The sequence below is a fragment of the Homo sapiens genome, chromosome 18 (assembly GCF_000001405.40).
Source record: "Homo sapiens chromosome 18, GRCh38.p14 Primary Assembly".
Lineage (NCBI taxonomy): Eukaryota > Metazoa > Chordata > Mammalia > Primates > Hominidae > Homo > Homo sapiens.
Genome location: NC_000018.10, coordinates 46,445,107 through 46,466,025, shown reverse-complemented (window position 1 = coordinate 46,466,025; position 20,919 = coordinate 46,445,107). Strand labels below are relative to the sequence as shown.

Below are 20,919 nucleotides of genomic sequence, written 5' to 3'. Positions count from 1 at the left end.
TCATCCAAAATTCTGGTACAAGCAAACTTAGCTCAGTCCAGATACATCCTTTCTGGATATTGATTTGTGGGGTACAAATGGATGAGTTCGGACAGGGCTATGGGTGCCCTACTTCCTGAGGACCCCCTAGTGTGTCCATCCTGAACAGGCACTCCCATTACTCCCAGCTCCTTTTCAGAGCCTGGCACCAGGCACCAACCACCCATAGACATCCCAAAATGCCCTGAGCAAGGGTAACATAAGGGAGTTTCAAGGGAACAGATAGGGCCATCTCAGCCTTGGACAAAGGGAGTAAATAGAGTCTCTAGGAAAGGAGGTTTTGGACAGAAGGGCCTGGAGAGAAAAGTACATTTGTCCTAAATTCAGAAGGCAGAAGGGGTAGTTTTGGTAGGGGCACCTGAAGGGTGGTGCAGGGGAGGTTGCTTATGAACTGGAGGGAAGATGGGTCTGTTCTTCCAGCCTAGTGGCCTCAATGTGCCTTTTCTTCTAGAGTTTCCAACCAAATGCAGAAAAAAAAATTGTTTTATCAGTGATTTGAGAAGTCGTGGTGCTGAGGCCTCAGCCACCAGCCCCCTGCTGGACAGGGACTGCTGGTGGCTGACCATGGCAGGAAGTGGGCAGAGGAGAAGGGTAGATATTGATAAGGTCTGGGAAACCATCTAGGAAAAGGAGAGGGAGGAGAGCCAAGAGGATCAAAGAGAGAGCCAACAGAAGGCAGGGTTTAAAAAAATAAATATCATCATCATCATAATAGCTAATATTTATATAATGCTCACTGTGTTCGAGACACGTTAAGTGCTTACACATATTATGTTCATCAAATCCTCATAAAAGCCTATGCAGCAGATACCATTATTATCCCCATTTTATAGATGAAGGAGCCAAAGCACAGAGAGCTTAAGTAACTTGCCCAAAGTCACACAGCAAGCAGCTAGCACAGGAAGCGCAAGCGTGGGCTTTTTATCAAACGATATGTTCAACGGAAGCTCCATATTTAAAACAGACCAAAGAGTAGCTGCTCTGACTGGTTGGAGGACCAGGGTGGAAATCCCAGGCCACTCAGTGGTGGGTAAGTGTGAGTGGAGACGTGTTATTTGCCAGGTTGAAGACTGCTGAAGAGGGCATGTAACTGAGGGCCAAAGGGAGGGCGACCGGACAATGCCTGCAAGAGAAGGATCTTGTTTCCCACTTCCCAGGAGTGAGAGGGGCTTCCCATGGCCTGCAGAGCACTGGGGAGGAGAGAGAGCAAGGAGCCAGGTGTGAGGTTGCAGGTGGTGGGGAGGATGGGGGGAGCTGTAGGGAGAAAAGTACTGGCTGGGAGGCACCCAAGAGTGTCTGGGAGTGAGATGATGACAGATTCCACTCCTCCTTAACCTGGGGGGTCATTATGGTGACAGGAAGTCACAGGGCACGTACCTGGATGTTTTCTGAGAACCTTTCTCCTGGGTGCTGCAATGGGAAAGGGGCGGGAGCAGAGGCTAGGAAGACTGAATATATTTTCATGTGTTGAGTGGACACAAAATCCAAGGAAAGAGAAATGCTCTCCTCGACCCTCTCCCTTCACCCCAAAAGCAGCCCAGACCTTTCCTCCCAGGATCAACCTCCATTGTAAATGTTAACAGATTAAACAGACAAACGGATAATAGAGGGAGGTAGGAACTTGAAATAGAGACTTGTGGGATTTTAGAGCTGGAAGGAGCTTAGGCTACCATCCACACCGGCAGAGCCAGAGAAGAGAAATGTCATGCCACATTCACAGGACTGGCCGGGGGAGGTCATGGATCAAATGAGACATAGAGAGAAAGGTATGGAAAACTCCAGACTTGGGTTCATCTCACTTGAATGAAAACTAAGAATCTAAACATTCATTAACCTAATGTAAACTATGGGCTTTATTTAATGCATCAATATTGGCCCATCATTTATAACAAATGCACCACATGCAAGATGTTACTAATAGGACAAACTGGTGTGGAGATGAGAGGGTAGGTGGAAATCTTTGTATTTTATGCTTATTTTTCTGTAAACCTAAAACTGCCCTACAAAATAAATTACTATTTTTTTCAAAGTTCATTAATGTGGGTTCTGTTTGCAGTTTTTCATTCACTGACCCCAAACTTTTTGGAGGGCAGATTCTAGACAATGCAAGGAGCTTGTGAGCATGGGCTTTTATAAGGGAGTAGAAAATCAACCACCCATTGAAAATCAAGTTCCTTCTCTTTTACAGAGAATCCGAGTAGCCCTCCAGTTCAAACACTCATTTGAAGATTGATCAAAAATGGGAACTTTCGACCAGGCATGGTGACTCACACCTGTAATCCCAGCACTTTGGGATTAAGCTGGGAGATAACTTGAGCTCAAGAGTTTGAGACCAGCCTGGGCAGTATAACAAAACCCTGTCTCTACAAAAAAAATTTAAAAAAAAATTAGCCAGGCATGGTGGCATGCACCTGTGGTCCCAGCTACTTGGAAAGCTGAGGTGAAAGGATGGCTTGCATCTAGGAGGTTGAGGCTGCAGTGAGCCGTGATTGTGCCACTGCACTCCAACCAAAAAAAAAAAATTCCGCTTTACAATTCATACCTAAAGTTCAGGAAATAGGTCAATTAGATGATTGGTCCACAGTCATAGAACAGATTCTTTAAGAGATAAAGAGATACAAGAAAGAAATAGATAAGAGACAAGAAGGGGGGGGAAGAAAAGGGTGAAAGAGGGGCAGAAAGGGAAGAGGAAAATAAGAGAAAAAGGAGAGAGAACAAGGCAAGTTGGTGAGAGCTAGATAGATAACTGATAGTGCCTCTTATCTTGGACAAAGACAGAGGCCTGGCGAGGCTTCCTCCGACATGCCCTGGGTACACACCAAAATAAACACCCAGCAGGCATAAGGTGTAGTTAGCAATGCAGTTCATTTTTATTAGTTATAAATAAAGTACAAAAAATCCACCAAAAGTGAATCTAAGCATTTACACAATTCCTAATGTCTCCGCCTTTTCATTGATGCACTATTGCTTTAATATTCATAATAAATATTCTTCTAGCTTTCTGCTATAAAATAGTCTATGTAGCAAAATGTTGCACAGCACAACAGAACAGAACAGCAGGAGGATTACAAAAAAGGACAATCAACACTGAGGATAATCCTTTCACTTGCCAGGGGCAACAAAATTACCCCCTCGAGGGCTGGTGCAGCTGGCTCCATGGCTGAGAAATTAGCCGCATCCGAGGCCAGGGGTGGAGTGGGGGGAGGGGCTCAAGGGTGAGGGCACAGGCCAGCCAGGGCAAAGGGCCCCTTTCCACTCTGACCCTGCAGAGCAGCATAAGGCATGCCCGTCCAGGAGCCCTGCCAAAGATGTGGTGTCTGCCAGGCCCAGCAGTGTGGTGGTCGTGCTCCCTCCAGTGTGGTGGGGGACTCCACGGGCTTGTCTCCAGGGAAAGCAAGGCTCCAGGCTGGAGGCAGAAGGGGAAGCTAGGCAGGAAGCCCAGAGAGGGGCACCCATCGCCCAGCTGGGGCAGAGTTGAGGCTTTAGGGACCATACACAGCCCAGTTCTCACACAGCCTCCCTGGGCAGTATGGCGAATCTCGGTCTCCACTTCCTCCCTCCACATCAGCACCTTCCCCATGGGGCCTCATCCCCACCAGGTAAAGGCAGTGATGTAAAGAGGGAAGAAGGAGGATAAGCTGTGAAGGAGGGAAAGGGGAAGAGGCAGGAGGAAAGCAGGCAGTCCAGGTCCCAGCCGGCTCAGGGGGCTACTCTCAGGGGCGTGAACTCCCTCTCTCTCCTTTTCGCTCAGAGGCATTGGGCTCACAGCTGTGCCAGCCTTTGACAGTGACTTCCCCATGTCCTCCCTCATTATTCCTCTACAGGGGCAGGGGGACTGGAGGCCCACTCCCGGTCCTCCGAAGAAGCTCCTCCTGCCCACAGTCCCCAGGGAGCAAAGGCAGAGGGAGACGCACAGAGGAGATGCCAGGAGCAGAGACCTTGATTCCAAAATCTATGTCCCAATCTGTTTTCCATGGGCAGCATCTCAACAATGAAGACTCTGGGTGATGATAGGATAGGGGTGCCAATCCCAAACCCATAGTTTGGAGCTCCTTTCTGCCTACCCCATCCCTATCTCTAACAAGACATGGATTTCAGCTCACTCGCCAAATGACTGCCCAAGCCTTATGAAAGGGCACGTCCTATACGTGTCCACCTAACTCACCTCCCTGTCACCCACAGGATGCCACATATTATAGGACAAAAACCCTCCCGAAAGTCAACTCTGAGCAAGCTCAAATTCTCAGCTCACTCTCTCTATTCTTCTCTTCTTCTTTGCTCTCCTTTTCTCCTCCCAATCCTTTCTCCCTCTTTCCCTCTTTTTTTTTTTTTTTTTTTTTGGACTGAGTTTTGTTCTTATCACCCAGGCTAGAGTGCAGTGGTGCACGCTCCCAGCTCACTGCAACCTCCGTCTCCTGGGTTCAAGCCATTCTCCTGCCTCAGCCTCCCGAGTAGCTGGGATTACAGACGCCTACCACCACGCCCAGCTAATTTTTGTATTTTTAGTAGAGACAGGGTTTCACCATGTTGGCCAGGCTGGTCTCAAACTCCTGATCTCAAGTGATCTGCCCACCTTGGCCTCACAAAGTGCTGGGATTACAGGCGTGAGCCACCATGCCCTGCCTTTTCTCCCTCTTTCTTCTCTCCTCAGAAGGTGAGACAGCACAGCACAGTGGTTTCCCACGGGATCTGTGTCACATTCTACTTGAATCTAAGGGACCCTAAAGATCTCCCAGTTCTCCTCACTCACCCCACCCAGAAAACTGAGACTCAGGGGCCAAGGGACTTGCTCAAGGTCATTGGGACGTCTGTCATGGAGCAGATTTGAAAACCTGAGCCTCCCGGCTCCCCAGTCCAGGGCTCCTTCTAAGAAGTCAGGCTTTTTGGCTCTCTGATGTTCCTCTTGTAATGTCTGGAGGGCTCCAATTCTGGAGTTGGAGGCCAGGTGGAGACAGTGGCCTCTAGTGCCCCAAGACTTTCCTCAGAGGATACCGGCTGGGTGGGCTGAGGTTGTGGGAGGAGCGAGGGAGGAGGAAAGGCAGGTTCATGATGGAGAGGCAGGGTTGTGGTGGGGGCGGGGGGGTGCCAAGTGTAGCAAGTGAAAGGATTACCCCAGTCTGCTGACAAGTGCAAATTATATTTATATATGTGCTAAATACAGTCACTATATTGGAGTTTTTCACTAGATCACAGCATACAGAATCAAAGGTTTGCATTTCGTATGGAATGTATCCAAAGAGGCCAGCACCACGGTAGGACAGCTTGCAATCACACACCCTGATAGTTCGGACGAAATAAAGTTTGCAGAATTTTATTTAAATTTTTTTTTTGTATTCGTAGTTGTTTGTCATCGTACCAATGCATGCAAAGCATTCCACTCCCAGAAACAACGCCAAAATGAGGTAATAGGAGTAATAAAAAAAATTAGTATCCTTTCTAAATAAATAAATTATAATTAAAAATGCAAAACAACTATAAAAATAATTAAATAAGAACCCACGATATCTACAAGTTAGTCATAAATTATGATTGTTAAATATAAGGCATTTAAACTCACAAAACCCTGTAAACTAGCAACGTGCCATGTTTTTTGTTTTTTGTGTTTTTTTTTTCATTTTTGTTTTTCTATCAGCTGAAATCGCTCTAGCATTTGCTCTACGCGCGCAGGAGATGAAACACAAGGGGGCCTGACAGACGTTGCTACAGCCCCACGCAGGGAGTGTTTGTCCCGCCTACAGGCGGGGGGCTTAGGGGATTTCTTTAGGAAAAAAAGAAAAAAAGTCTGGTGCTTTTTTCTTCACCATTGAAAAACTGTGCTTGTTCATTAGGCGTAAAGAGTTAAGAATACTTGCACGGAGGCTGGGAACATTTGCAGAAGAGGAGCTTGAGTCCTGCCACAGGTGGTGGCCAAGGGCAACTGGGTGCCGAAGGGGGTCCTGGCCAGGTGGAGGGGCAGCCCCTGCTCACCCTCTGCTTGCACCCAACCAAGCTTGTGGTGTTGGGTTGATTGATTGGCGTCCTCGGTGGACCCGCGGCGGCACAGCTGCTGCAGCTGCTAGGACGCCCAACTTAAACCCTGGGGCTGCTCTCACCCCAGAAGGCACTCATGCGTCTCAGTCAAGAAAGGGTCTGAGTCCCTTGAGTTGAGCAGGAGGAGGACTTACCAGTGGTCTCCCCTCCTGGAGGTGGTGGATGTGAGATGCTGAGGCCTGACCCTGCCTCTTCTCCACTCTTCCCAGACTCCCTGACCAGTGCCGGGAGCAGAAGCACAGACCCTGGCCCTCTCTTGTCCCCCAAACAGCTGCCCGGCTAAAGAAGTGGGAGCTGCAGGGTTCTGAGCACCCCATCACCTCCTGTCCCCATCTGTGGGGGAAGGAGGAGGGGCTTCAGGGTCTACCCCCAAAGTAAGCAGCTTCCCTCTCCCCTCTGGTGGTCCCCTCCCCAGTCCCTAATATTAGCCTGGGGCAGAGAATTGGGAGGGGGGAGGGGACGAGGGCCCACTGTCTCACCCAGCACGTGTGCCCCCAGCCCAGTCTGAAACAGAGTGTGTGCCCACAGAAAGTCCTTTTCAATAGCTGGGTGGGCGCACAGCTCTGCCGCCTTGAAGATGTGTTGATGTTAGGGAGTGTGAGTGTCAGAAGGAAATTAGCAAGCATCCAATCCAACCTCCTTAGGTTGTAACTGAGGAAACTAAGGCCCAGAGAGACAAAGGGAAGTTTCTAGTGTTGCCCACTTTGTCAGTGAAGAGCCCAGACTGGAACCTGGGACACCAGCTCTAGTTCTATCCTGGCCTCCCCACTGACTCCCTCCCACTTGCCAGCCTTTCAGGCCAGTCTCAGCAGAAAGAATGAAAGACTGAGACTAAGAGAGGAGTGAGCTTCCTAGACCACCCTAGCTACCTCCAGGCCAAAGCCATCTTCCGATGAATTCTTGGTTTTCACCCAGCCATTGGAGAGAATGGGGCAGAAGTCTCAACTTCCTGTGGCTATCAGTAACTAGCTTTCCCCCAAAATCCTGACTCAGATGTACTTTCCCCACTGGTGAGATCTCCAGCCTTTAGCCCTGGAGACATTTTCATACACTGGAGCTACTGAGTTGGACGCTGTGATACTCATTGCTGCTAACCCTGAATCAGGTTATTCACCATTTTTGCAGCATTGGATGTGTCTTGTCTCCTCAGCTAGATTGTGAGCTCCTCAAAGCTATTGTCTCTCCCAGCGCCTGCACCGGTAGGCACTCAATAAAGATTTTATAGAACACCAGGATATTAGTGCTGGGAGAAATCTCCTGCCAGGAGCCACTTCCCCCACTTTCTGCCTGCAGGTGGCCAGAGCAGCTATTCCCGCATGAACCAGTCGTGCTAGAAGCTCTTCCTCAAGCCAAAATCTGCCCGCCTGTTACTTTTACCCATTGGTCCTGGTTTTACCCTTGTAGCAGCAATACAGACTCAAATTTCCTTCACTGTATGGAATTTCTTCAAATATGTGACAAGTATCCTGTCCCCCTTACCCCGGTCTTATTGATACGAGGGCATTGAGACTGGGTTATGAATGGAGGTGAGGGGGAGGCTTACAGAGCAGTGCAAATGAGGGAACAGTGGGGGGTGGGGCACAAAGGAAGGTGGCAGAATTCCAGCTAATCTGGTGTCTTCCACATAGGGAGAAAGAAAGTTGGGTTTGGGTTGGAATTTGGTGGATTTTCCCATCTCCATTCTTCTGTCCTCTTATCTCTCTGCTCCCTTTGGGGTTCAGGAAAATTGTGAGGTGGTGCAGAAAGACATACTGTATCAGGTCTGTGTCTCCCAGCACCCCCATCCCGACACCCCACAAGGTTCTCAGAAGAGAGCATAGAACACGCTGGACAGAGAATATGAATCCTCACAACATCTAGGTGAGGTAGCAGGACCGGAAATGGGGCTGCACTGTTCTCTCTCCCCCCTCAAAGGAGAAGGAAACTGAGGCACAGAGAAAGAAAGGGACTTGCCCAAGGTTATCAAAGAGTCAGAGAAGCAGCCAGAGACCAGGAACACGGGCACTCCCAAACCAAGCTGAGGGGCCTCCCAAACCTAGCTGATGTGACCTCAGAGCCAGGGCCATCTCTGAGGGACTGTGTCAGGACTGGAGACATCCCGGGGGATGCTCAGCTTCCTCCCCAAGGTCTGCGGTATTGACCTCAGCCCTTAGTGCTGGCTGAGAGCACTGTGGCCAAGACCAAGCAGCCATCACCTATGCTGTCTTATCTGCATCATCTGGTTAATTTTTTGCATAGGGAGGCAGTGGCTACGTTGCCTCTTTGTGACAGGCAAGAGCACAGCCTAAAGGAAGGAGTTGGAGTGACCATGGGTCTCTCGGCTCCCAGGAACACATTGGGTACCAGTAGCTGAGGGCCGAGCCCTCCCTGGTTTAGTGTGGAACTGGGGGGATATAGCTGGGGCCATGAAGTTGAGCCCTGGGCCTGGGGAGCCCCGCCTAGATGAACTCTCCCTTCACCTGCTGGAGCTCTGCTGCCTTCCTCACCTCCGCTGAACCCTCAGAGGCCAGGATAAGACCCCATCAGCTCCTTTTCCAGCTCTCCCTCTCCTAGACCCCCTTCCACACTCCGTGCACTGTAAACATGAGAAAAACAAAAGCCAAGGTAAAAACAAAAACAAAAATAAAACGAGAACCCCCCCCTCCCGCCTCCCAAATTGGGTGAAAAACAAAATCCTTTTTCACCGTAAACAGAATTTGGCTTTTTTTTTCTTCCACCTTTGATTCCTTTTTCCTTTTCTCTCATAAAGACGGGAAGATTGGGGCTGTCGTTGGTTCGGTCAGGCACCAAAACAAGAAACTCAATGAGAAATATTTGGTGCGAATTCGGTAATAGCGACATGTCCACCACAAGATGACTAGAGCACCACACACAACATTTTTCTTAAGCTAACATGCTCCGGCTGCCATCCACAGAAATAGCTAGAGACCCCTACATGGTTCCTACGTGGTCGAGAGGTATATATACAATCCTTCAGAGGACAGGATTGAGGGGCCCGTCTGTCAGCTAGTGCCTTCAGGATCCCACCTGGGTTCTCCGCAGCCTGGGCCCCTCCTTCCCGCCCTTGCGCTGGGCACCGCCAGCTCCCTCTCTCCTGCTCAGCCAGGCGGATGGGGACAGTCGCCATTCTGGAGAGGTGGGTCCTCCCCAACCCCCTCCTCTCCCTCGACACCGATACCACCAACTCCTCTTTCCACAAAATGTGCTTGCAGGCTTTTCCTCTACGTCAAATGGCTCAGAAGGCAAAGTTTGGCTGCAAGGGCTATGGCCGTGGGGGGACCTGGTGAAGGAAATGGGGTGTCCACTGGCTAATTCCTCCCTCAGCTGTCGGCTCCCAGTTGTGTCTCAATGTCCACTCGGCAGATGGGGCATTTCTTGCTCATGGCGAGCCACTGGTCCACGCACAGTTGGTGAAAGAGATGCATACAGGGTAGGCGTCTGGAAGAGAGGAGGGAGAGTCAGAGGCCCGGCAAGAGCTGAGGGACACTGAGCGGAGCAGGGACACACACCTAGGACTCCTGGGGAACTGCCCGGCTATGGAGGGAGGCTGTGGCTGAGATGGGAAACCATGAAGCCTCCGCCAGGAAGCGCTTTCAGATCAGCCTGAAACAAAGCCACAACTTTGTCTTAGACGCATTCAGACCGAACACCACACTGTTCTCCTACACTTTTCATCCTCGCGTCCGTACCCGGGCATCACACATCTAGAACATTTCATACCCCACCTTCCCAGGGCAACCATGAAGCACATTATAGCACACTTGGCACATACGTGCACAAGCAAACAAGCACCCCAACTCCCAGACACACGGTGCAGTGATTGGTCACCAATACCTATAAGAGAGGGGAGAGGGAATCAAAATGGCGGTCTCCTACCTCACATCTTCTCCATCTTCCAGCATAGACAGACAAATTGTGCATTTCTCATCTGTGTCTGACTCCTCCCCCTCATCCTTCTTGCCCTTGCCATCCTGGGGTCTTCGCTATGAGAAGCAGAGAGAGTAGTATTCATTACCTGGGGCAGACTCAGCTGGTGGCTGGTGGTTTTCACCCACAGCCTGCTCTTCCCCTGGGAGTCAGGTTTTTTAAAGTTTCTTTTTTTGTTTGTTTTGTTTTGTTTTTGAGACTGATTCTTGCTGTGTTGCCCAGGCTGGAGTGCAATAGCGTGATCTTGGCTCACTGCAACTTCCACCTCCTGGGTTCAAGCGATTCTCCCACCTCAGCCTCCGAGTAGCTGGGATTACAGGCACTTGCCATCATGCCTGGCTAATTTTTGTATTTTTGTAGAGACAGGGTTTCACCATGTTGGTCAGGCTGGTCTTGAACTCCTGAGCTCAGGTGATCTGCTTGCCTCAGCCTCCCAAAGTGCTGGGATTATAGATGTGAGCCACCTTGCCCGGCCATAAAGTTCTTAAGTAATACCCAGAACTCCTTCCCAGCTACTCTCCTGCAGCAAGGGCAGTAGGAAGAGGTCAAGTGGACATCATTTTTGCTGTCCCAGGCACTTTCTAGGGATACAGAGCTTAGAAAGAAATTGGGTTCCTAATGAATCGATCCTTTGCAAAGCTATGACTGTGCACAGTTTCCCTTTTCTGGTCCCTTCACACCATCCACTCCCCCTCAACACCCTTTACAACCTAGATTCCTGCCTTCAGGTTTCTCCCTCCACTTTCAGGCCCAGCAGGTTTCATTTATTCTTTCAGTCAACCACTGTTGACTCATTTATTCACTGATAACTACGTGAAGACATCAACTCTTACAAACTGTAGCCATTGTTATAAACTATTTATATTGTTGGATTTATCTTTCTATCCAGAAAGTTCACTTAAGATAGGCACTATCGTAAAGCAATCATGAAACACTGTTTATACTTGTTGACTTCCCTTGTACTGTTTTTCATTTTATGCTGATTATTTGAAAATAGTTTACCGTTATGTAGAAGCCATATGTAGAATCATTATGTAGTTTACCATTATGTAAAGTCTCAAATTCAGATGGCATGGACTCATGACTTACCCTTCTTTAAGTACCACCCCATACTTGGTCACTTACAAGGCGTATTAGTACTTGGTAAATATTTTGGCAAAGAAGAAATCTAGTCGTGAGCGAAATCAGCCCACCTTTCATGTTCACATCTTCACACTGTGCCATGAAACAGTCTAACAATAACCATAAGAAGAAAATTACTCATTCTGTCCCTCTCCAGAGACAGGCTGACTTCAAGATCATTTTGCAAAGAGAAAAATCTGAAGAGTCACAAGATGAAGACTACCTAGAGAATGACCGTGGGGCAAGGCCCGGATGCCAAGTCTCCCTTCTCTGGCCTCTGGTCCTAAACTCTGGAGATCCTGAGTCTGGTTTAGTCTGGGGAATACTGTAACCTCACTGGAACACACAAGAAAATCTATTTGTTCTGCTCTCTGCCTCGCTGTGCCCTATATACTCCACTGCAAACCCTGCTAGGCTTCTGTAATAAGTTTTCCCTTATCCAGAATCCAGAAAATCAGAATTACATCCATAGTCCCGTATAATTGTCATGGCTTTAGAGTATGAATAGAGTCATGATGATCTGCCTGCTTAAGAGTCCAGCTGTGTTTGCTGGAAGAGTGGCCTTCGTTTAGCTGACCCTGCTAGAAAAAGGAGGTCCAATAAAATGTATTGGTAAGAGTCACCAATTTGCCTATTTGCCTACTTTCTACTATTTTTTTGCCATCATTATTCATGATTTTCCTTTAATAGTTAAAAATTTTAGCTTAATATTACCTTGTTTTGCTGTCTAATCTATATATCTTCTCGTTTCATTAACCTTCCCTTTTACTTTTTTTTTTTTTTTTTTTTTTTTTTTTGAGACGGCCTTGCCCTCTTGCCCAGGCTGGAGTGCAGTGGTATAATCACGGCTCACTGCAGGCTTGACCTCCCAGGCTTAAGCAATCCTCCCACCTCAGCTTCCTAAGTGGTTGGGACTACAGGTGCACACCATCATGTTCAGCTAATTTTTCTTTTTATTGTAGAGACAGAATCTCTCTATGATGGCCAGGCTGGTCTCAAACTCCTGGGCTCAATCTATCCTCCTGCCACCGCCTCCCAGAGTGCATGAGCCAGTGTGCCCAGCCCCCTTTTAACTATGATGTTATTGATGTTAATTTTATATGTTGCTTTCATATCTCTTTCTAGTTTTTATTCTTTGCATATTTTTCTATTTTGACTCAGTATTTTCTATATTTTTATTCTTACATCATTACTATTTTAAAGTATATATTTTATTGTATATGATTATACTCTCAATTTAAATTTTTAAGGTGTTTTTCTTCTTTATTGTCTTTTTCACTTGTGTATAATTTTTAAGGGTTTTTTCCACATTTTATTTGGGTCCTAACTTTTGTCATTTCTTATTTTTAATTCATTTTGTTCTTTTTTTATAATATTTTATTCCCTTAATTCTTTTTATTCTCCTTTTTACCCGAGCCCTTTATCTACTTGATTCAGTCCATTTCCCCTTTTAATTCTTAGCATTGGTTCTCTTCACAATTTCCTCGTGCCTGTTGAAGTGACAGCAGGTGAGGCGTGCATCCTCGGTAGGAGTAAACACTCCCTGGTCCGGGACACAGGTGCTGCTCCTGGACTTGAATACACCACTCATTTCCTTCTATGTTCTTCTCCAATAGCTTAAAACTCTCTCTCTCCAGAGAATGATCATTTTCCCCTGTAGATGACACCCTTAATTACTGAAATGCTGCCATTTCCTCTATTAGCACACTAGCCAAGGTTTGATACATAGTAGGTACTCAATAACTGCGGTTGAAATCATTTACGAATAAATCCAGTGCCTTGAGAGGAGCTGCCTATACTGATTCACAGTCTTTGACATTGACACCACCAGCACATGGGTTAGGGAAAAGCATCAAGGTATCAGCAGCTCACCATTCCTGGGCACTTAGTAGATACCAGGCACTGTGCCAAGCTGTTCAAGTGCATCATCCCGTTGAGTCCCCACAGCACCCCGTATGGTAGCTACTAATGAGATCATTCCCATTTCACATTTTAAAAGGGGGAGGTGGACAGGGAGGGGCCAGAAAAGCCAAGAAGTTGTCCAAAGTAACGGAGTTATAAGGGGTAGAACCGAGAGTCAAAATTGGCTCTAACTCTAAGAGTGCTCTCGACCAATGCACCCTAGGGTCTCATGAGGGAGTGAAGACGGTCCTTGGCTTGACAATGATGAGGACAGTCCTGCTCTAAGATTCTTAATGTTTGTCAAGCTTTTAATTTCCCCTGGGAAGGATGAATGTTTTAAAAATGTATTAATATTTATTTATTTATTTTTATAATAAATGTTATTTTGTAGAGCAGTTCTAGTTTACATAAAATTAAGCAAAAACAGGCCAGGCATGGTGGCTCATGCCTGTAATCTCAACAATTTTGGAGGCCAAGGTGGGTGGATCACTTGAGATTAGGAGTTCAAGACCAGCCTGGGCAACATGGTGAAACCCCATCTCTACTAAAAATATAAAAATTAGCTGGGTGTGGTGGCACATGCTTGTAATCCCAGCTGCTTGGGAGGCTGACGTGGGAGAATTGCTTGAACCCAGGAGGTGGAGGTTGCAGTGAGTCAAGATCGTGCCACTGCACTCCAGCCTGGGCAACAGAGCAAGATTCTGTCTCAAAAAATAATAACAATAATAAGCAAAAAGTACAGTGTTTTCCCATATACCCTATACTCCCAACACAGAGTTTCTATTACTAACATCTTGCATTAGTGTGGCACACTTGTTACAATCAATGAACCAGTATCAATAGACTATTAACTGAAGTTCATTCATTTACATTAGGGTTTGCTCTGTGTTGCACCATTCTATCAGTTTTGACAAATGCATAATGTCATGTATCCACCGTTAGAGTATGATACCAAATACTTTCACTCCCCTGAGACTCCCCTATGCTCCACCCATTCATTCCTCCCTCCCTCCCCACTGGCAACCACTGATCTTTTTATTGTCTCCATAGTTTTGCCTTTTCTAGAATGTTATATATTTGGAAACATACAGTACACAGCCATTTTGGGCTAACTTCTTTTACTTAAGAATTCCTCAGTGCATTTCTGCTTCCAACATGTCTTTCCATGGCTCAATAGCTTATACTTTTTCTTTCTTTGTTTGATACAGGGTCTTGCTCTGTTGTCCAGGCTAGAATGCAGTGGTGCAATCATAGCTCACTGCAGCCTCAAACTCCTGGGCTCAAGTAATTATCTTGCCTCAGCCTCCCTAGTAACTAGGACTACAAGTTCATACCACCATGAACTTTTTAACTTTTTAACTTTTCAAAATTTTTGTAGAGATGAGGTCTCACTATTTTGCTCAGGTTGGTCTTGAATTCCTGGCCCAAAGTGATTCTCCATCCTTAGCCTTCCAAAGCACTGAGATTATAGGTGTGAGTCACTATGCCCAGTCCTTATTTCTTTTTATTGCAGAATAATATTCCATTATCTGGATGTGCCACTGTATGTTTATCTATCTTTCATCTATTGAAGGACATCTTGGTTGCTTCCAAAATTTTCATTTATTTTAATTAAAAAAAAAATTTTAAACTCAGTTTCCTGGGCTCTAATCTTATCCTAGATTCCTAGTTCTTAGCCCTGGAGATTCTACCTCTACAGACTTAGGATAAAACCTGTGACTCTGTGGCTTTAAAAGCTCCCCAGGTGATCCTGACGCTCAGTCAGGTTTGAAAACCTCTGCTTGGATGCCTTGCTTTCCCATTTGTTCACATGTGAGATTGGACATAGAATTATTTTCTAAGGCAAATATTAGCCTTCTGTGCAGGTATCCCCTTTCCCCATCTCATTTAGAGACAAGTATTTATGTGCCTGACACCTATACATGTATATGTATGTAATATACCCAATGGCAAGTCCACATGCACACACGGATACCCAGCTCTCCTTCTTTACTAATGAGAGGCCTTCCATCTTCCCTCCTGGCCACACCTGGCACAGAAAAGTAACATGACCCTGGGAAGTTATTACAGCTTTAGAGCATCTAACCAGAGCAAAGGTTTCTAGAATCTGGACTGCACCCCTCTGTGAACAACCAGGCCAGAGTCAATTAGACAACCCCCCTGCCCCATTCCCTGACTATGCAGGCTGGCCTGCTGGCAGACCCACCTTCTTATACTTGTGGGGGAAGGTGAACCTCTCAATGGTGTTCTGTACAGCTCCCCGAGTCACATTACCCAACCTGTCCTCGAGCTGCAGCAGCTCCTGGAAAGAGAAAAATGTGCACATGTGTGCTCAGCATGTATAAATGCCCACATGCACACAGGATATGGATTGGGAGCTGGAAGACATGAGCAGGAAGCATTCACATAGCTATCAGGAAGAACTCATCTGATGCTGAAAGACTGCAATATCTCTACTGGCTCTCCCTTCTTCTCTTTCTTACTCTTAACCCTGAAGCTTCCTGACACCCATACCCTACTCACCAGCAGAGGTGGGGAGGGAAAAGGGATGATAACAATAATGGCATCTCCACCAACCCAGTTGGTACCAGACAGAGCAACATACCTCATAGCTCTCCCGTACGGCGGAGGTGTGTCTGCTGGGATTTAGTCCCTGGAGAGCAAGGAAGTGAAGCTGAGGGTAAGGGTAGTTTCGGATTTCATGGACGACCTGTTGGGTAGAAAACGCCTTGGATAGAGCAAGGATTCAAGGTTTCTCCATGAGCCCAGCATGCAACTTCTCCACCTGTAACCCACTCAGTACACCCTGAGATGCTGTGGGCAGAACTATTGTCTTTCCTGCTCTTATGTCCCTTTTCTTTCATCAAGAACCAAGCCTTGCCTGGACAAGCCCCAGAAGGAATAACAGAATTAATAAAGTGACAGCTAACCTTCATGGCAGGCACTGTTCTAAGCACTTAACGTGACTAATTGAATTATCTCACCTGATCTATAATGTGGGTGCTATTACTCTCCCCATTTTACTGATGGGGTAAATGAGGTACAATAGATTATGTAATTGGCTCAAGTTATGCAACCAAGGGACAGAACCAGGATTTCAAACCCAGGCAGTTGGGTGGCAGAGTCCATTCCCTTCACCTTTTGGTTTAGTTCATTCTCACTCTGCTATGAAGAAATACCCAAGAATGGGTAACTTAAAAAAAAGGAGGTTTAATTGACTCACAGTTCCACATAGTTGGAGAGCCTCAGGAAACCTACAGCCATGGTGGAAAGCACCTCTTCACAGGGCAGCAGGAGAGAGAATGAGTGCCAAGCGAATGGGGAGGTCCCTTGTAAAACCATCAGATCTTATGAGAGCTCACTCACTATCATAAGAAAAGCATGTGGGAAACTGCCCCCACATGATTCAATTATCTCCACCTGGTCCTGCCCTTAACATGTGGGGATTATTCAGTTCAAGGTGAGATTTGGGTGGGGATACAGAGCCAAACCATATCACTCCTACTCTGCACTGCCTCCAAGAGAAGCTTGGTGGTTCAAGGCTTGGGTTTGTGTCAGCACCAAGGTGGGGGCACAAAATTTAAAGGGCCACCAAAAGCCTCAGTAATAAAGATTAACGATATTTTAATGCAATGTTTTTTAAAGTCAAATAAATGCAAAAAAAACCTCCATGCTGAGCAAAATATCAATATTTTAAATAAAGACAGAGTCTGACTCTGTTCTGGCATGGCCTGCCTCACTCGCCTTTCCCTCACCCTGGCTATGAGTCAGAGAGGAGTTTCCATCACAGCTCCTCTACTTGCTCACTGTATGTCCCAGGGCCAGTTACTTAGCCTCTCTATTCCTCAGTTTTCCAATCTTTAAAATCAGGATAATACTCTTTTGTGGGAGTTTTTGAGAGGATTAATGGGATAATTTACATGAACTGCTTAGAACAGTGCCTGGTATGTAGTAAGTGCTCAATAAATGCTTGCTTCTTTATTCCTAAGAGATGGTGCTTCATACACAAAGCATGGACCCTCAAAGCTTACAAGGACTCCAAAAATTACTCATGCAAGCTCCTTATTATACAAATAAGGAGACTGAGGAGCTGAGTGGTTAGTGACAGAGACAAGGCTTGGAAGGTGGAATTATGCTTTAGGGCAGCAAAGTGAAGTTGCCTGGAAATAAGATTTTCAATCAAGCTTTTGCTGCTTTCATGGAATATCTTCATTTTAATTCCATGCAGCTTGCAATGTCAGGAGCCCAAAGGCCCCCAAAGCCAGCCTGACCCATGATTCGGCACTCTGCAGCCACAAGAAGGCCTGCCCTCTGAAAAAGGCAGAACTGGATAGGCAGGCTAGGCCCAAGAGCTCCCGCTGGGATCTCTTTTGATCCTCACACCAGCCCTGTGAGATGGGCGAGGCAGGCATCTTCATTTCCATTTCACAGATTAGTGAAACCAAAGCCTAGGGAGGTACTGACCACAGGAAACTAAATGAGGCCATATGAAGTGCAAGGTCTACTCTGCCTGATCTTAGCCCTGAGCCCTTTACCCACAGACCACACCCTGCCACGCTGCCCCTTTCCACTCCTCCAGTGCCCACTCCTACTCCCCTCAGCAGAACCAGCTTCCAGTCCAGCAGGTTCCCTTTCATTCCCCATAAAGCCAGAGTGTGAATAGGAGCTGCGAAGAGAGGGGAGCTGTTGATCTGCCAGGGAGCCAGGACACAAGAAGGCCAGGGCACAAGAAGGCCAGGGCACAAGGGAGTCAGGGCATGGGGTGTTGATATACAGAGGAGCTGGGTCATGTGGAAGCCAGGGCACAGGGGAGCCAGGATATAAGGGGGCCAGGACACAGGAGAGTCAGGGCATGGGGGTTGATACACAAGAAAGCCAGGTCATATGGAATCCGGAGCGCAGGGGAGCCAGGATATAAGGGGGCCAGGGCACCGAAAAGTCAGGGTATAGGAGGTTGAGAACACAGGGGAGCTAGGTCATATGGAAGCCGGGGCACAGGGGAGCCAGCATATAAGGGGGCCAGGGCACAGGGGAGTCAGGGCATAGGGGGCTGATAACAGAGAATAGAAGCTGGGAAGAGAGGGGAGCTGTTGATCTGCCAGGGAGCCAGGACACAAGAAGGCCAGGGCACAAGGGAGTCAGGGCATGGGGGATTGATACACAGGTGAGCTGGGTCATGTGGAAGCCGGGGCACAGGGGAGCCAAGGATACAGGGGAGCCAGGCCATGTAGCAGCCAGGGCACAGGGGACCGCAGGCCTCAGACCACCACTGGCACTCAATAGGCGCAAGGGAGTCCGTCTTCTTTCACTTACCATCTGTGTGGAGGAGGAGTTTCTGGGAAAGTGGTGCATTCGAGGAGTGGCTAGGTAATGCTGATAGTGCTGAGGGATGGGCCGCACCTGGAACTGAGCAGGACTCAAGCCAGCATCCACACTGAGATCCCTGCAGGGAAACAGCCTCAGTGAACCATAGGGTGGTGTGATTTAGCCAGGTTAGAGAAGGGACCTCAGACATCAAGCCTATGGAGTAGAATTGGAGTGACACCCTGCCAGAGCTGCAAGGAACTTTACATCTCCCAGCCTTTCCTCTCTCTTCAGAGGGAAGGAAACAGAGACTCAGAGAAGGAAAGGACTCTGAAAGGTCTGAAGGAGCTAGAGCAATCCAGGCTCTATGAAATTTCTTTAAACTAGGGGACCAAAGCTCCCTCCCAAGACAAAGTCCATCCCTGAGAGAAATGCTGAAAGAAGAATCTAAATCGAGCAAGCCAGAGGCACTGAGTAATGGAAAGACAAGGTTCAGATAAAAGTGGAGGAGGGAGCTGAGGCTATATTTTTACCACTTTGAGAAAACAAAGAGAGAGAACTCTACACCTAGACCTACAGGCCAGACAGCTTATCCTGGCCCACCGCAACCCACTCCTAAAAATATAGAAAAATTCATTTTGCTTAAAAACTAATTAATTGATGAATTGCACTGAGGATGAACCAATGGCTAATTTGGAAAATGGCCAATTTCAGATCTGGAGAGAAAATGAGCAAGATAAGATGGAAACATCTTGTCATAACTAGAAACAAGAGAACTATCAAAACACTATTAGGGTGACAGCAAAAGGGCTCAGAAGCAGTCCTGAAGAGGCTCCCACTGGCCAGAGTTAGGACAATGTGCAGGTTGACAAGAATAACTGCAGGAGGGATGGAAATAAATAAAAATTGTTTAGATCCATGCTCATGAAATGATGCTAGAAAATTGGTCCCCTTCAAAGAATGCTGGAGAACAAACTTCTTTACCTTTCTTTTTTTTTTTCTTTTCCTTTTTTTTTTTTTTTTTTTTTTTTGAGATGGAGTCTCGCTCTGTCACACAGGCTGGAGTGCAGTGGTGCGATCTCGGCTCACTGCAACCTCCATCTTCTGGGTTCAAGCAATTCTCCTGCCTCAGCCACCCAAGTAGCTGGGACTACAGGCATGCCACACCACGCCCGGATAACTTTTGTAGTTTTAGTAGAGATGGGGTTTCACCATGTTGTCCAGGCTGGTCTTGAACTCCTGACTTCAAGTGATCCACCCACCTCGGTATCCCAAAGTGCTGAGATTACAGGCATGAGCCACCACACCCAGCCAACTCTTCATTTTGAAAACTAGTAAATAAATGAAAAGAGCCTTTCTTTTCTTACTGTATTTCCAGGTAATCAAATATTTGATGAGTGGAAATTTCTCTTTGTAAAAGTTTTTCAGCTAATAAATGAATAAGGGATGATTGAATTTTTCTTGAATTTTTGTCATCATTTTGCTTCCCCTAAAGAAATAAAGGATCTAAGCAAAGATCATTGATTGTTGCTAACATCACAAAAGAAGCAACAACCAGACAGTAGTGCTCTCTGGTGGAAGAATACAATATCACCTATGAAGTATTTATGCCAAGAAATAAGAGTTGAACCTGAATCTACTCAAGCCTTAATCTTGGTGCCAAGGTCCAGAGAATACAAGAAACTAAGGAACATCTTAAGTGACAACACAAGAATGCAACCAGTAAAATCCAGGTAAGGGGAAACTACAGGAAAAACAGCCTGGATTCTTCAACAAATACATTGGAGAAAAAAAAAAAAGGATATGGAGAAGTATTAAAGGAATTTCCGCTTCTACTGGTGATAGTTTAACAGGAGTTAAGTTTACCTTTCCACTTTAAACCACTAGAAAGCTGAACAGAATATATGAAATCTCTGTTTTCAGACGTTATATAACAAGCAATGCAGACTGTTATCAACAGAAGGACAACACATGAGGTGAGCTCTGCAACCTCCCTAGTTTTTTGCATGAAGGCACATTCCAGACCATGAGCAGGGAGAGAACTAAGCAGAGCATGACGATCTTAATGATTTGAGGATTCAGAGATCTTATTTCCAGGAGGCTGAGGTCTCTGAAAGTTGTGGTACCATGATTTGGAGAGAAGAGGCAGCTACATAGAAGGAGGGCTCCAGAAATCTGCACGGAGATTCCCTTGAGTCTTTACTGAATACTAAGATCTGCATACATGGGGTGAAATTTTAGTAGGTTGAACAAAGAGCATCCAAGGTATAGTGGGTTCCCAGAGATTAGACAGTGCTGGGAAAGATTCATATTCCAGTCAGCCAGAGCAGAGAGTCCTTGGTCATACAATAGAGACCCCAGAAGAGCCTTTTGAGACTTATTTATGAGTCTTATTCGGGAAGATCTAGAGTAGTCTCTACTCTAGGGATATTCTAGTCCTGCTGGAAGAAGACCTAAAAGCAAGCCTTAAAAGGATGAAACTGAACTGCAAGTGCTCCTTACCAGAACGAAGCCTAACACTCTCTAAATGAATAAAACAAACGTAACTACTTAACAGTGTATAATCCACAATTATTCATAAATGATGTTCATCAT

The 20,919-nt window shown here is 46.7% G+C and overlaps 1 protein-coding gene across 4 annotated transcripts in view, besides 4 other annotated features; it reads right to left on the bottom strand.

Moving 5' to 3' along the window:
- Positions 753-1,252: an enhancer, noted in NCBI's record as "H3K27ac hESC enhancer chr18:44044737-44045236 (GRCh37/hg19 assembly coordinates)". NCBI's record gives its function as "activates a minimal SCP1, AML or CMV promoter by ChIP-STARR-seq in primed H9 embryonic stem cells {active_cell/tissue: H9 hESC(primed)}" and the evidence as "EXISTENCE:reporter gene assay evidence [ECO:0000049][PMID:30033119]".
- The window catches only part of ARK2C (arkadia (RNF111) C-terminal like ring finger ubiquitin ligase 2C), a 129,123-nt gene continuing 111,089 nt past the window's right edge, over positions 2,886-20,919 (bottom strand). For 2 of the 4 annotated variants that reach the window (NM_152470.3, XM_024451191.2), the window contains 5 exons: positions 18,334-18,463; positions 15,626-15,730; positions 15,227-15,322; positions 9,946-10,052; positions 2,886-9,507 (listed from right to left, as the gene is read on the bottom strand). In NM_152470.3, the coding sequence (NP_689683.2) occupies positions 9,390-9,507; positions 9,946-10,052; positions 15,227-15,322; positions 15,626-15,730; positions 18,334-18,463 (556 nt within the window). In that variant the 3' untranslated portion in view covers positions 2,886-9,389. The remainder of the gene's footprint in view (positions 9,508-9,945; positions 10,053-15,226; positions 15,323-15,625; positions 15,731-18,333; positions 18,464-20,919) is intronic. The other 2 variants (NM_001256758.1, XM_011526016.4) reach the window with 2 other exon arrangements.
- Positions 7,103-7,892: an enhancer, noted in NCBI's record as "H3K27ac-H3K4me1 hESC enhancer chr18:44038097-44038886 (GRCh37/hg19 assembly coordinates)". NCBI's record gives its function as "activates a minimal SCP1, AML or CMV promoter by ChIP-STARR-seq in primed H9 embryonic stem cells {active_cell/tissue: H9 hESC(primed)}" and the evidence as "EXISTENCE:reporter gene assay evidence [ECO:0000049][PMID:30033119]".
- Positions 17,266-17,560: a silencer, noted in NCBI's record as "tiled region #1203; K562 Repressive non-DNase unmatched - State 24:Quies". NCBI's record gives its function as "represses a minimal TATA promoter and a strong SV40 promoter by Sharpr-MPRA in K562 cells {active_cell/tissue: K562}" and the evidence as "EXISTENCE:reporter gene assay evidence [ECO:0000049][PMID:27701403]".
- Positions 17,949-18,732: an enhancer, noted in NCBI's record as "H3K4me1 hESC enhancer chr18:44027257-44028040 (GRCh37/hg19 assembly coordinates)". NCBI's record gives its function as "activates a minimal SCP1, AML or CMV promoter by ChIP-STARR-seq in naive H9 embryonic stem cells {active_cell/tissue: H9 hESC(naive)}" and the evidence as "EXISTENCE:reporter gene assay evidence [ECO:0000049][PMID:30033119]".